This window comes from Homo sapiens, chromosome 11 (assembly GCF_000001405.40).
Source record: "Homo sapiens chromosome 11, GRCh38.p14 Primary Assembly".
Lineage (NCBI taxonomy): Eukaryota > Metazoa > Chordata > Mammalia > Primates > Hominidae > Homo > Homo sapiens.
This window is the reverse complement of record NC_000011.10, coordinates 36,510,287-36,524,952: the sequence shown is the minus strand read 5'-3', so window position 1 is coordinate 36,524,952 and position 14,666 is coordinate 36,510,287. Positions and strand designations below refer to the sequence as shown.

Here is a 14,666-nt window from a genome sequence, read left to right as displayed (position 1 = left end):
AAATGAATCACAGTAAAAAAGACTAACAATCCAATTAGAAAATGGGCAAATGATATGAAAAGACATTTTTGCCAAATAGAATATATGGATGGCAAATAAGTACATGAAAAGATGTTACACATTTTTAGCCATTAGGAAAATGCAAATTAAAACTACATTGAGGCCAGGTGTGGTGGGTCATGCCTGTAATCCTCAGCACTTTGGAAGGCCGAGGTGGGTGGGTCGCTTGAATCCAGGAGTTTGAGGCCAACTCTGGCAACATAGTGAGACCCACTGTCTCTACAAAAATTACAAAAAATAGCCAGATGTGGTGGTGTGTGCATGTATTCCCAGCTGCTTGGGAGGCTTAGGTGGAAGGATCACCTGAGCGAGGGAAGGTGGAGCCTGCAGTGTGCACTGATTGCATCACTGCATCCCAGCCTGGGTAAGAGAGTGAGACCTTGTCTGAAAAAAAAAAAAAAAATAGCACACACCACATTGAGATATAACTACATATTTATCAGATGTCTAAAATAAAGCTAAATCACTTATACATTGCTGGTGGGAATGTACCTTGGTAGAGACACTCTAAATAACTACTTTGCCATTTCTTTTCTTTTCTTTTTTTTTTTTATTATACTTTAAGTTCTAGGGTACATGTGCACAACATGCAGGTTTGTTACATATATATACATGTGCCATGTTGGTGTGCTGCACCCATTAACTCATCATTTACATTAGGTATATTTCCTAATGCTATCCCTCCCCCCTCCTCCAAAGTTAAAATGCAATTACCATGACTCAGTAATTACACTCCTGGATTTAACCCAGAAAAATGAAAATTTATGTTCACACAGAAACCTGCCACAGGAATGTTCATAGCCAACCCCAGTCCAAAAATCTATACACTATATTATTCCATTCATATAAAATTCTTGAAATGATAAAAGTATAGAAATAGAGAACAGATTAGTAGTTTGGGGGGTTTAAAGGTGGATAGAGGAGGAGAGAGTGGGTGTGGTATAAAAGGGCAACATGACGGATGGATCCTGGTGATAGCAGAAATATTCTATATCTTGACTGTATGAATGTCAAGATATTGTCATATTAGCCTACAGTTTTGCATGATGTTACCATTGGTAGAAACCGAGTAAAGCATAAATGGAATTTCTTATATCTTATAATTGCATGTAAATTTACAATGATCTCAAAATTGAAAGTGTAATTTTTTTAAAAAAATTATGCAATGGCCAGCAAATGCAATTGTGAACTTGGACTGGATCCGGGATGGAAGCCCAAGCCAAACATCCATCTCTAACAAATATTTGAAGTACATTTGGAGAAATTTAAATATGGGTGTGTATTGGATAATGTTTATTATGTAAGTTAAGTTTTCAAGTGTGATAATTATATTATAGTTATATAGAAAACTCTCCTTGTTCTTAGTTGTATTAGCCCATTTCACACTGCTAATAAAGACATACCCAAGACTGGGCAATTTATGAAAGAAAGAGGTTTATTGGACTTACAGTTCCACATGGCTGGGGAGGCCTCATGATCATGGTGGAAAGCAAGGAGGAGCAAGTCACATCTTACATGGATGGCAGCAGGCAAAGAGAGAACATGTGCAGGGAAACTCCCATTTTTAAAACCGTCAGAACTTATGAGACCTATTCACTATTATAAGAACAGCACAAGAACTACCCGCCCCCATGATTCAATCATTTCCCACCAGGTCCTTCCCATAACACGTGGGAATTATGGGAGATACAAGATGAGGTTTGGGTGAGGACACAGAGCCAAATCATATCATTCCACCCCTGGCCTCTCCCAAATATCGTATCTTCACATTTGAAAATGAATCATGCCTTCCCAATAGTCCCCCTAAGTCTCAGCTCATTTCAGCATTAACTCAAAAGTCCACAGTCCAAAGTCTCATCTGAGACAAAGCAAGTCCCTTCACCTATGAGCCTATAAAATCAAAAGCAAGTTAGTTACTTCCTAGGTACAATGGGGGTACAGTCATTGGGTAAATACACCTGTTCCAAATGGGAGAAATTGGCCAAAACAAAAGAGCTAAAGGGCTCATGCAAATCCAAAATCCAGCAGGGCAGTTAAATCTTAAAGCTCCAAAATGATCTCCTTTGTCTCCATGTCTCAAATCCAGGTCACACTGATGCAAGAGGTGGGTACTCATGGTCTTAGGCAGCTCTGCCCCTGTGGCTTTGCAGGGTACAGCCCCTCCCAGTTGCTTTCACAGGCTGGTGTTGAATGTCTGTAGCTTTTCCAGGCAAACAGTGCAAGCTGTCAGTAGATCTACCATTCTGGGGTCTGGAGGATGGTGGCCCTCTTCTCACAGCTCCACTAGGCAGAGCCCCAGTAGGAACTCTATGTGGGGGCTCTGACCCTACATTGCCTTTCCACACTTCCCTAGCAGAAGTCCTCCATGAGGGCCCCACCCCTGCAGCAAACTTCTGCCTGGGCATCCAGGCGTTTCCATACATCTTTCTGAAATCTAGGCAGAGGTTCTCCAACCACAATTCTTGACTTCTGGGCACTCGCAGGCTCAACACCACATGGAAGTTGCCAAGGCTTGGGGCTTGCGCCCTCTGAAGCCACAGCCCGAGCCATACCTTGGACCCCTTTAGTCATGGCTGGAGCAGTTGGGACACAGGGCACCAAGTCCCAAGACAGCACACAGCACAGGAGCCCTGGGCCGGGACCACAAAACCACTTTTTCCTCCTAGGCCTCTGGGCTTGTGATGGGAGGGGCTGCTGCGAAGGCCTCTGACATACCCTGGAGATATTTTTTCCATTGTCTTGGAGATTAACATTCGGCTCTTCATTACTTATGCAAATTTCTGCAGCTGGCTTAAATTTCTCCTCAGAAAATGGGATTTTTTTTTTCTATTTCATTGTCAGGCAGCAAATTTTCCAAACTTTTATGCTCTGCTTCCCTTATAAAACTGAATGCCTTTAACAGCACCCAAGCCACCTCTTGAATGCTTTCCTGCTTAGAAATTTCTTCCACCAGATACCCTAAATCATCTCTCTTAAGTTCAAAGTTCTACAAATCTCTAGGGCAGGGGCAAAATGCATCCAGTTTCTTTGCTAAAACATAACAAGAGGCACCTTTTCTCCAGTTCCCAACAAGTTCCTCATCTCCATCTGATACCACCTCAGCCTGGATTACATTATCCATATCATTATCAGCATTTTAGTCAAAGCCATTGAACAAGTGTCTAGGAAGTTCCAAACTTTCCCACATTTTCCTGTCTTCTTCTGAGCCCTCCAAGCTGTTCCAACCTCTCCCTGTTATCTAGTTCCAAAGTTGCTTCCCCATTTTCAGATATCTTTTCAGCAGCACCCACTCTGCTGGTACCAATTTACTGTAATAGTCCTTTTTCACACTGCTGATAAAGGTATACCCAAGACTGAGCAATTTACAAAAGAAGGAGGTTTATTGGACTCACAGTTCCACTTAGCTGGGGAGGCCTCACAATCATGGTAGATGAAAGGCATATCTCACATGGCAGCAGACAAGAGAAGAGAGTTTGGGCAGGGAGACTCCCATTTTTAAAATCATCAGATTTAGTGAGACTCATTCACTATCATGAGAACAGCACAGGAAAGACTTGCCCCCATGACTCAATCATCTTTTACCGGGTCCCTCCCACAACACATGGAAATTGTGGGAGCTGAAAGATGAGATTTGGGCCAGGCGCAGTGGCTCAAGCCTGTAATCCCAGCACTTTGGGAGGCTGAGGAGGACGGATCGTGTGAGGTCAGGAGTTTGAGACCAGCCTGACCAACATGGAGAAACCCCGTCTCTACCAAAAATGCAAAATTTGCCAGGCATGGTGGCACATGCCTGTAGTCCCAGCTACTCAGGAGGCTGAGGCAGGGGAATCACTTGAACCCAGGAGGCGGAGGTTGCAGTGAGCCAAGATCATGCCATGGCACTCTAGCCTGGGCAAAAACAGCAAAACTCCAACTCAAAAAAAAAAAAAAAAGATGAGATTTGGGTGGGGACACAGGCCAAACCATATAATTAGTGTAATGAAATATTTAAGGATAACATGCCCCTTACTCTCAAACCATTGAGAAATTATAAACTGGAGAAAGGGAAGTAGGATGAAAGAAGGAAAGGAAAGCAGCCTCCATAACCAATAGCTATCAACTTTGTCCCATATTTTAAGAGTTAAGATCTCAACTAACAAAGTAATCTTTAATGTCTCACTGGCCTGGACAAACACAGCAATTCCTTTTCATAACACTAATGTTTCACTTTCTTAGATAAAGTTTGTAACCCTTTTATATATCTGATATGTTTTACTGGATAGATACTGTAACCTTTTTCAAATATATGTTATCACTACATTTGAATAGCCTTTTTCAGCCAGGCGCCATGGCTCATGCCTGTAATCCCAGCACTTCGGGAGGTCGAGGCGGGTGGAACACCTGAGGTCAGGAGTTTGCGACCAGCTGGCCAACATGGGGAAACCCCGTCTCTTCCAAAAATACAAAAATACAAAAAATTAGCTGGGCGTGGTGACACGAGCCTGTAGTCCCAGCTACTCGGGAGGCTGAGACGGGAGAATCACTTGAACCCAGGAGATGGAGGTTGCAGTGAGCCAAGATCACGCCACTGCACTCCAGCCTGGGCAACAGAGCAAGACTTTGTCTAAAAAAAAAAAATTAAAAAATAAATAGCCTTTATCCAGTTTGTGAACATATGACTCACATTTCCCTCTTGGCTGAATGTCCTTGGGTCTCATCGTCCCCACTGCAATGTCAGCAAGAAAACAAGGTGATTCTTTGAAGTGGCTTCAGATTGCACTCCTGTCAAAAGAAAGCTTGTGATGTTGATGAATTTAGGAACTGTGGGATAGTGGTCCTCAAGCCCTGGTGGGTAAGCTCTTCCTTCCTTTCCCAATGTAGTTCTTACATAAACAGCAAGACTATGTTTTAAATTTTTAAATTGGTAGTCAATTTAAATTTAAATTCCAATCACGGTGGCTATTTCAGAAAGTAGAGCTGAGTTTCAAAATGTTAAGGAGGACATTTTTACTTTTTATTTTATAATCTTCTGTAACATGACTATTTTCTCTTGTCTGTGAATTTGAATTTCTTTTTAAAGTTGTGGGTGTGGGTTGGTGGGAGGGCGTGGAGGGGTTATGTTCATTTGGTTTTTAAGACAATACTCAATCTTAGAATCCTGGAAAGAACAAATAGGATGATACCAAGAGCCAGATGGAACACAAACTGATACCTTTCTGGGAAGTCATTTGTAACAGGAGTCATAAATATTCACAGCCTTTGGCCTACCAATTTCCCTTGAAGGAATCCTTCTTAAAGTCATAATTTAAAATGCTGACAAAGATTCATGCAAAAAAAGTTCATTGGCACATTATAAATGCAAAGGTAGAAGAAATAACCTAATGTTCAACCTTAGAGGAATAGTTAATTTACTATAAGTGCAGTTGTATAGATAGGAAACTGTACATTCTTTAATATTATCCTGAAACATTTGATGACAAATAAAAATGCTTGATGTGTTTGAAGTAAATATAAGTGACTTTAAGAGCAATGCAACTAAAGCTGTTGAATTTCAGTTTCCAACTGTGTTCCAATGTCTAATATTTTATTTCCTCTCCGGAATACGATTTTTGGCACTTCTCTACCTTAGTTTTGAGGGATTTCCCATTAGAAAACACACCTGTCTGGTCATGGCTAAAATTCTTTGTTGCCCATTGACTTGTAATATTGACCCTTTATATCCCTACCTTACTGGTGCAGAAAACAACAAAAAAAAATGTAAATGGTCCTTAATAAATGCCTTAAGAAAAAATTACCACCATTATCACCCTCAAATAACCATTTTAGAAATCTTCCAATGGGCATATATCAAATCTTCAAAGGACATTATTTATTTAACATAATTGATATCCCCTACAGAATCTTCTTCAGGAAAGTAGTATCATTAGCTCATTCAGAACATGAACATTACTTGGTTATAAGAAAGCGAACACTCATACCATTTAGGACATAGGCATGGGCAAGGACTTCATGTCTAAAACACCAAAAGCAATGGCAACAAAAGACAAAATTGACAAATGGGATCTAATTAAACTAAAGAGCTTCTGCACAGCAAAAGAAACTACCATCAGAGTGAACAGGCAACCTATAGAATGGGAGAAAATTTTTGCAATCTACTCATCTGACAAAGGGCTAATATCCAGAATCTACAATGAACTCCAACAAATTTACAAGAAAAAAACCAAATAACCCCATCAAAAAGTGGGCTAAGGATATGAACAGACAGTTCTCAAAAGAAGACATTTATGCAGCCAAAAGACACATGAAAAAATGCTCATCATCACTGGCCATCAGAGAAATGCAAATCAAAACCACAATGAGATACCATCTCACACCTGTTAGAATGGCGATCATTAAAAAGTCAGGAAACAACAAGTGCTGGAGAGGATGTGGAGAAATAGGAACACTTTTACACTGTTGGTGGGAATGTAAACTAGTTCAACTATAGTGGAAGTCAGTGTGGCGATTCCTCAGGGATCTAGAACTAGAAATATCATTTGACCCATCCATCCCATTACTGGGTATATACCCAAAGGATTATAAATCATGCTGCTATAAAGACACATGCACACATATGTTTATTGCAGCACTATTCACAATAGCAAAGACTTGGAACCAACCCAAATGTCCAACAATGATAGACTAGATTAAGAAAATGTGGCACATATACACCATGGAATACTATGCAGCCATAAAAAATGATGAGTTTCATGTCCTTTGTAGGGAAATGGATGAAACTGGAAACCATCATTCTCAGCAAACTATCGCAAGGACAAAAAAACCAAACACTGTATGTTCTCACTCATAGGTGGGAACTGAACAATGAGAACATATGAACACAGGAAGGGGAACATCACACACCGGGAACTGTTGTGGGGTGGGGGGAGGGGGGAGGGATAGCATTAGGAGATATACCTAATGCTAAATGACGAGTTAATGGGTGCAGCACACCAACATGGCACATGTATACATATGTAACAAACCTGCACGTTGTGCACATGTACCCTAAAACTTAAAGTATAATAATAATAAAATTTAAAAAGAAAAGCGAACACTCTCATGTTGTTTGTTAAAGCAATGTTCTACTTAGTAAATCCACAAAGAAATCTGTTCTGTTCTGGCAGGAATTGGGATGAAAGTGACTTTTTGGTGGATGCATTCTGCAAGTTCAATTTGAAATTGAAAGTTATTTTGTTCTTAATAATCACAAGGTATTAACGACCACACCATATGAGAGAGGCAAATGTGGGTAAAGATTGCAGGAGTCTGGAATATGTGTCCTACTATATGTGACAGAAAACGAAAAGGTATGATAGCATTAATAAAACACACTCAAACACACACACACACTTACACAAACCTTCCATTTCCTTTGATAGTAAAGCCATTTGTAATTTACCTAATTTTGTCATTCTAATAAACCTCATTGTAGGCTGACTCTGCTCTAAAAAAATTGTATATTCCCCCCACCCCAAAACATTTGCATTTAGTTGTTTGGAACAAAATACACATTCTTCTATAGAAACAATGTTATAAATTGGGATTAGTTTTCCAGTCAGCCTCACAAGAGACAATTTGGTTCATACTGTAACTAAAATATGTTTGCGATGAAAATATGCAATTATTGAAAATAATACTGTTGCATAAAAGACATTATTTCAACTACATTGTGGGCAATTCAAGAAAACTAATCGTGATTTAGTGTCCTTTTTGGGAAATCATATCACAAATTCGAATCAGGAACACTGGAAACAAGTATCCTGTTTTTCCCACCAAGTTCAAACCTCAGTTTGGGACACTTCCTCCTGTCCTGCCTCAGATTCTCTCCTTTCGCTGCTGCTGCGAGAGCCTCCACACCTAGCAACCATCAGCAATATACACAAACCAGGCTTTTAAATTCAGACACTTCCTAAACGATAAACCTCCAATTGTTTCAAAATACAGATAAACCAAAAGCTTAAATATACGTTTTTGGGCCGGGTTCAGTGGTTAACACCTGTAATTCCAGCAGTAAGTAGCAAAGTCAAACAAAGGCACATGCTCCAACATAGATAAATATTTATTAGGTGAACATGTTAAGCAATAATACTGAAAGGACATGTAGGCATCCTTTTGCTTTATTTCAGGTTTGGGGTGATTTTAGTAATTTTCAAAAATGTGTCCAGAAGGGAAGGTACAAAGAGAATTCATAAGGTAGTACTTACTTCGGTGAATTAATCTGACTTTTAGCTCAGTTCAAAAACTGAATCTGCCGGCTGGGCGCGGTGGCTCACGCCAGTAATCCCAGCACTTTGGGAGGCCGAGGCAGGTGGATCACGAGGTCAGGAGATCGAGACCATCCTGGCTAACACGGTGAAACTCCGTCTCTACTAAAAATACAAAAAAATTCTCCAGGCGTGGTGGCGGGCGCCTGTAGTCCCAGCTACTCGGGATGCTGAGGCAGGAGAATGGCGTGAGCCCGGGAGGCGGAGCTTGCAGCGAGCGGAGATCGCGCCACTGCACTCCAGCCTGGGCGACAGAGCGAGACTCCGTCTCAAAAAAACAAACAAACCAACAAACAAAAAACACAACAGTGATTTTTACCACACCATGTGTCTGGGCACTAACTCGGCTCACAAGAAACATATAGGCAAATCAGACAAAAGCAATTCATTTGCATTAAAACTATAATTCACAAGTAGATCAGATACTTACATCCTCTGGCTGGTACATTTTTTCCCTCAAGGAAAGCAGTTAATTGGGTGAATTTATCATCTCAACATTGCTTGATGAACAGCGGCAAAATTAAGAACAAAACTGGCTCCAATGCAGTGGATATGTGCCCACCTTCCCCTTTCTTCAAAATTAAGAAAAAAATAGACTCATTCCTTTATCCAAGAGCAGGAAAAATGAGCGTGACCACAAAAAAAGCCTAGGTTTTTTATTGGATTTGGGGAAGACAACGGAGAAGGAGGGCACATATTTGTATTCCTTGCTAGTAGATGGGCTTTACCAAGGAAAACTCGTTGTCTTGGAAATTTTGGAGAACTTTTGTAGATTTCAATGTGATTTCTAAAACTAAACTTCTGCCTCCTGGTGGCTCAGACTCTGCTTCTAGCCTGGACAGTTGACAACCAAAGGTGCATCTCCAAAGCCTGCCATTACTGTGTACAGTCTCCCCGGGAGCCTCCCTGCACAAATCCACATGTCCACACACCTTCCCTTCCCTCTTTGTCACCCCCTCCCACTGCCCTGCCCCTCCACTGCTCTGAGCACTTTCCCTCATGTTGATGGAGTACGGTAGTGGGGAGGATGGAGAAGAGGGTGGAATGGTGGGGGCTGCTGAGAAACTTAGGACACTTACAGTGTATTTTAAGGCCAGAATCCTGTATTCAGAAATATCCTTTCATGTGCTTCTTTGGCTTCATTAACTGCTGGTAGCAATTGTAACATTTAACAACTCAAAGATTATGACATCAGGCCATCTCCAAAATGCCTGCCTTTGAAAATGGGCAACCAGGGGGAGATTTTGATCCAAGGCACCTCCTCCTCCAAACAGCTGCCACACTAGATCTCTGACCTTGCCTAGGTCCCATCATATCGAATTCCTCTTTCGCCTTTTAATTACCTCATTCTTTCTTGGTCTATACTTTCATAAAAGGTTAGCGTATCTACATTCTTATTCTTGCTTCTGGCACAAGAAAGATTCTGACTCTCAGGTGTTTTTGTCCAGATCGCATGTACCAGGTTGCGTTTCTTCTCTGAACACACAGTCTCCCCAGGTTGTGTCACCTCCTTAAAACAGCTGGGCACAGACACCTTCTGGAAAGTTTTGTGTCCCCTCAGGAGTATGCCCACTCTGATCTGAAGCCTGCTGCTTTAGTTCCTTCTCCCTGCCTCAACCACACTGACTTTAAGGCTCTGGATTATAAATGTAGCTTATTTCAGCTTTAGGGCCTTTGCAATAGGTGTTCCCTCTGCATGGACCACTCTGCTGAAAGATCTTTGCATGCAGAAACCATCACTCAGGTATTTAGTTTAAATCTCTCCTTCACAGATGAGTGGTGAGTGAGGGAATGAAGCTGCATCTGTATTTACAGCCACTCCCCATCCTCACATTACTGCCTGAGCTCCACCTTCTGCCACATCAGCTGTGGCATTAGATTCTCACAAGAGCACAAACCCTTTCGTGAACTGCACATGTGAGGGATCTAGGTTGCACACTCCTTATGAGAATTTAATGCCTGATGATCTGCCACTGTCTCTCATCACCCCCAGATGGGACTGTCTAGTTGCAGCAAAACAAGCTCAGAAATCCCACTGATTCTACATTATGGTGAGTTGTATAATTATTTCATTATATAGTGCAATGTAATGATAATAGAAATAAAGTGCGCAATAAATGTAATGCACTTGAATCAACCCAAAACCATCCCTCTGCCCCACTCTGCTCTGTAGAAAAACTGTCTTCCAAAAATCCACTCCCTGGTTCCAAAATGTTTGGGGACTGCTGCACTGCTGTATCTCCTGGGCTAAGAACAGTGCCTAACACATTCTATTAATTATCTATTGCTGTGTACCAAATTACCCAAACTTTAGAGCTTAAGACAACATTTATTATATCACAGTTTTTGTAGGTTCCAGCTTAGGGTCTCTTGTGAGATTGCAGTCAAGATGTCATCTGATGGCTTGACTGGGGCTGGAAGATCCACTTCCAGGATGACTCACTCACAAGGCTTTGGCAGAAAGCCTCAGCAATCGTCTGGCTATTGGCAAGAGGGCTCAGTTGCTCAGCAGCCTTTCTAAAGGGCTACTTGGGTGTCCTCAGGACAGGGCAGGGCTTTTCCCTCATAGCAAATAAGAGAGAGCAAGACAGAAGCTACAATGTCTTCTATAGCCCAGTCTAGGGAGGCACATTCCGTCATTTCCACAATATCCTGTTTGATATGGTTTGGCTCTGTCCCCACCCAAATCTCATCTTGAATTGTAGCTCCCCTAATTTCCACGTGTTGTGGGAGGGACCCAGTGGGAGATAACTGAATCACAGGGGCAGTTTCCCCCATACTGTTCTTGTAGTAGTGAATAAGTCTCACAAGATCTGATGGTTTTATAAAGGGAAACCCCCTTCACTTAGATCTCATTCTCTCTCTTGTCTGCTGCCATGTAAGACATGCCTTTTGCCTTCCACCATGATTGTGAGGCTTCCCCAGTCATGTGGAACTGTGAGTCCATTAAACCTCTTTTACTTTATAAACTACCCAGTCTCAGGTATGTCTTTATCAGCTGTGTGAGAACAGACTAATATACTGTTACATGAGGCAGCCCTATGTATTGTGGAAGCAAACTACACGTGGGCATAAATACCATCTTCAAGGCAGGCTGCCACACACACTTATAATGGTTGTTCAATAAGTGTATTTTGAGCTAATGAATTGTGTCATAATTTTATAATTCAACTTGTAGAGAGCCATCTTATTTCCAAATGTTTGGGGAAGTTTTACCTTCCCAACTCTACCTTCAGCTGTGTAAAACTATTTCCTATTTCATTTTTCAAATAGGATGTGAGAAACAGCAACCCAGGAATGATATTGTCTTAGTTCAATCTGTGCTGCTATAACAGCATAACACTGACTGGGTAATTTATAATGAACAGAAATTTACTGGCTTAGTTCTGGAGGCTGGGAAGTCCAAACTCAAGGGGCTGGTATCTTGCAAGAGCCTTCTTGCTGTGTCATCCTATGTTGGAGGGCAAAGTGAAGGCAAGAGAGAAAGAGATGGAGAGAAAGACGGGGCTGAACCAAACTTGTCCCTTTATAAGGAACCTACTCCCAGAATAACGAATTCACTCGCATGATAATGGCATTGATCCATTCATGAAGAGTGTCCTTCCACGACCCAAATGCCTCTCATTAGGTCCCACCTCCCAAAACCACCACATTGGGGATCAAGTTTCCAACGCATGAAATTTAGGGGACGCATTGAAACTATAGAAGATATGGAGACTATATCTTTATTCATGTTTGATTTACTTATAAGGACAACTGGACAAAATATTTTAAATTATTAGGTTGGTACAAAAGTAATTGGCATTTTTTCCATTAAAAGTAAAGGCAAAGACCACAATTATTTTTGCACCAATCTAATAGCAGCTTTTCAGGAAACCTGATCATTGTGGTTGCTATATATAGGTAACTTTACTAATAGGAATATTCAATTATTTCCATCTGCGTAGGACTTCCTAGTTTGCAAGGTATCTTTCCATATGACCTCATTTGAACTCATAACAGCTCTGAAAAGAAGACAGGATAGATTTCATTACAACTCTATAGATAAGGACATCTGACCAGGTCCCAATTTCAATGAGAGTCAGAAGCAGGAGTAGAACTTTGGCTTTCTTATTTCGAGTATCAGGAAAGAATTCAAGAAAGAACTGTGCATAAAGTAGGCTTAGCTATGCAGCAGAAAAGACAATCCCAATATCTCAATGGCTTAAAATAACAGGCGTTTGTTTCCTGCTCTCGTAAGTCCAATGCAGGTGGATTGACTTTCCAAGGCAACTGCCCTTCATACATCAACTGAGTGATACATCTCTTCCCTCTTGTAGTTGCCCTTTGCTCCTTGGTTGCACACAGGGGAAACAGTCTTGCAATGAAAATAAAACGCTTTGACCTAGGAATGATATGCATCCTTCTCGTCATAGCTCACAGGCCAGAACTAGTCACGTGGCCCTGCCTGATTGCAAAGGGAAATGGTATTTGTAAGTTTCCTGTGTGCCCAAGGCATGGATGAGCACTAAAACTCTCTCCTATATTGAATAAATTGGATTTGAAGGAGTAGGAAAAGGCCCCTTGAGGGCACTTATGAAAACAATGTAAAGAAACATACACAGAACACCTAATCTTTTTGAAAGCCTGGTGCTGGAGTCTCTCACAATAGATTTTTATTATTTTATACTGACAAAAGCCTGGTAAGGTAGACATTATCCCCTTTTTTATAGTTTTTGGTCATTGTAGTTCATGGAGGTTATGTAACCTGCCCCAGAGCTCACACTAAGAAGTGGAGGGAACTCTGATTCTCTTGCTCTTCCTTTTCTCCAGCTCTCAATTTCATATAATGATCTTTTCTTCCATCCCATAAGAGATTTAATTTTTAAGAGGAGCTTCTAGGGAGGGATACACAAAGGCTGGCAATGTTTTATTTTTTAAAGCTGGGTGGTGAGCACACAGATGTTTGTGCTCTTTTTATGTCTTAAGTGTTTCAAAATACAATCTTTTAAAAGGGGGTTGACAGAACCTGAGAACCAGTGATAAATTCTTCTTAAAAAGAGAAGCATTTTTAATGAATATTGGCAGCCAGAAAGTAGGACATATAGTATTGGTAACATTTATTGAGCCCATACTATGTCCTAGTTTTGGGTTTATTTGTTTGTTCGTTTGTTCCTTGAGACAGGGTCTCACTCTGTCACCCAGGCTGGAATGCAGTGGTGCAATCATGGCTTACTGTAGCCTTGACTGCCAGGGCTCAAGCCATCCTCCCACCTCAGCCTCCAGAGTAGCCGAGACTACAGATATGCACCACCACACCCAGGTAATTTTTAAATTTTGTGTAAAGATGGGGTCTCACTATGTTGCCCAGGCTGGTCTCAAATTCCTGGCCTCAAGTGATCCTCCTGCCTTAGCCTCCCAAAGTACTGGGATTATAGGCATGAGCCTATTTGTGCCTGGCCAGATAGTTTTAAATAATTTCTTTACATATTTTATCTCATCCTTCCAACAACCCTGTGAGGTAGATACTATTATTATCCCCATGTTAATACGAGATGAGAAAACTGAAACAAGTACAGATTAAGTATTTTACCTGAATCACACATTTATTGTAGGAAAAACCGGATTGGAACCAAGCATTCTGGCTTCAGGATACATACGCATGACTACTATCCTGGAAAACCTCCCCTAAGAGGTGGACGATGAACCAAATATGCAGAGGTGGATGAAACTCTTTTGTGCTTCTCCAGCAAAACGCGTGGTACATTCTCTAGACGTTTATGACCAGTTAAACAGGGAATTTAAAATAGTTTTCCCATGACAGAGAAAGACAAAGCGCTGGTGTTCTTGGCAGGAAATTCAAAGAAATATTTAAGGCAAGGGCTGACTCCCTTGGACCGGATGAAGGGGAAGAGCAGGTAATAATAGAGGGTTCTATGGATCGCAGAAACTTCCTGGGCAAGGAGGGTGGAGCTGGGGAGGGGTTTAAGAATTCCTGAAGGTCAAGCGATCTAGCCCAGCTGGGGTTTTCTCCTGCTTGGAGAGGGGTGCTATAAAAGCGCAGTTTGGGATTACTACTGTCGCCACTGCTCACCAAATTAAGTTATTCCGGGAGGGATCTTCTCGTCGCCATCCTCATTCCAACACACACCCATTGACACACTCGGGTTCGGCTGTGCGGTGCAACGAATTCCCAGGTGGGACACCCGAGCAGGAAGAAAGCCAGGCTGCGGGGCTGGGGGCGCCGCCCGGCCCGCGCCACAGTCCGCCTGGAGGATCACCGCCAGGGGGCACTCTCTCCGAACTCGGCCGCTCTGTCTCCTCCCCGGCGCGCTCCCTGCCCCT

General features: G+C 41.7%; 1 protein-coding gene across 6 annotated transcripts in view; it reads right to left on the bottom strand.

Annotated features, from left to right (window-relative positions):
• Positions 1–14,600, bottom strand: part of RAG1 (recombination activating 1) — a 69,410-nt gene extending 54,810 nt beyond the window's left edge. For 2 of the 6 annotated variants that reach the window (NM_001377278.1, NM_001440488.1), the window contains exons 1-2: positions 14,416–14,600; positions 4,724–4,821 (exon numbers count right to left, since the gene is read on the bottom strand). The gene's annotated coding sequence lies outside the window, so the exon portion shown is untranslated. Of the gene's footprint in view, positions 1–1,508; positions 1,571–4,723; positions 4,822–13,914 lie in introns of all 6 variants that reach the window. The other 4 variants (NM_001377279.1, NM_001377280.1, NM_001377277.1 and 1 more) reach the window with 3 other exon arrangements.
• Positions 14,601–14,666: the final 66 nt, after the last annotated feature.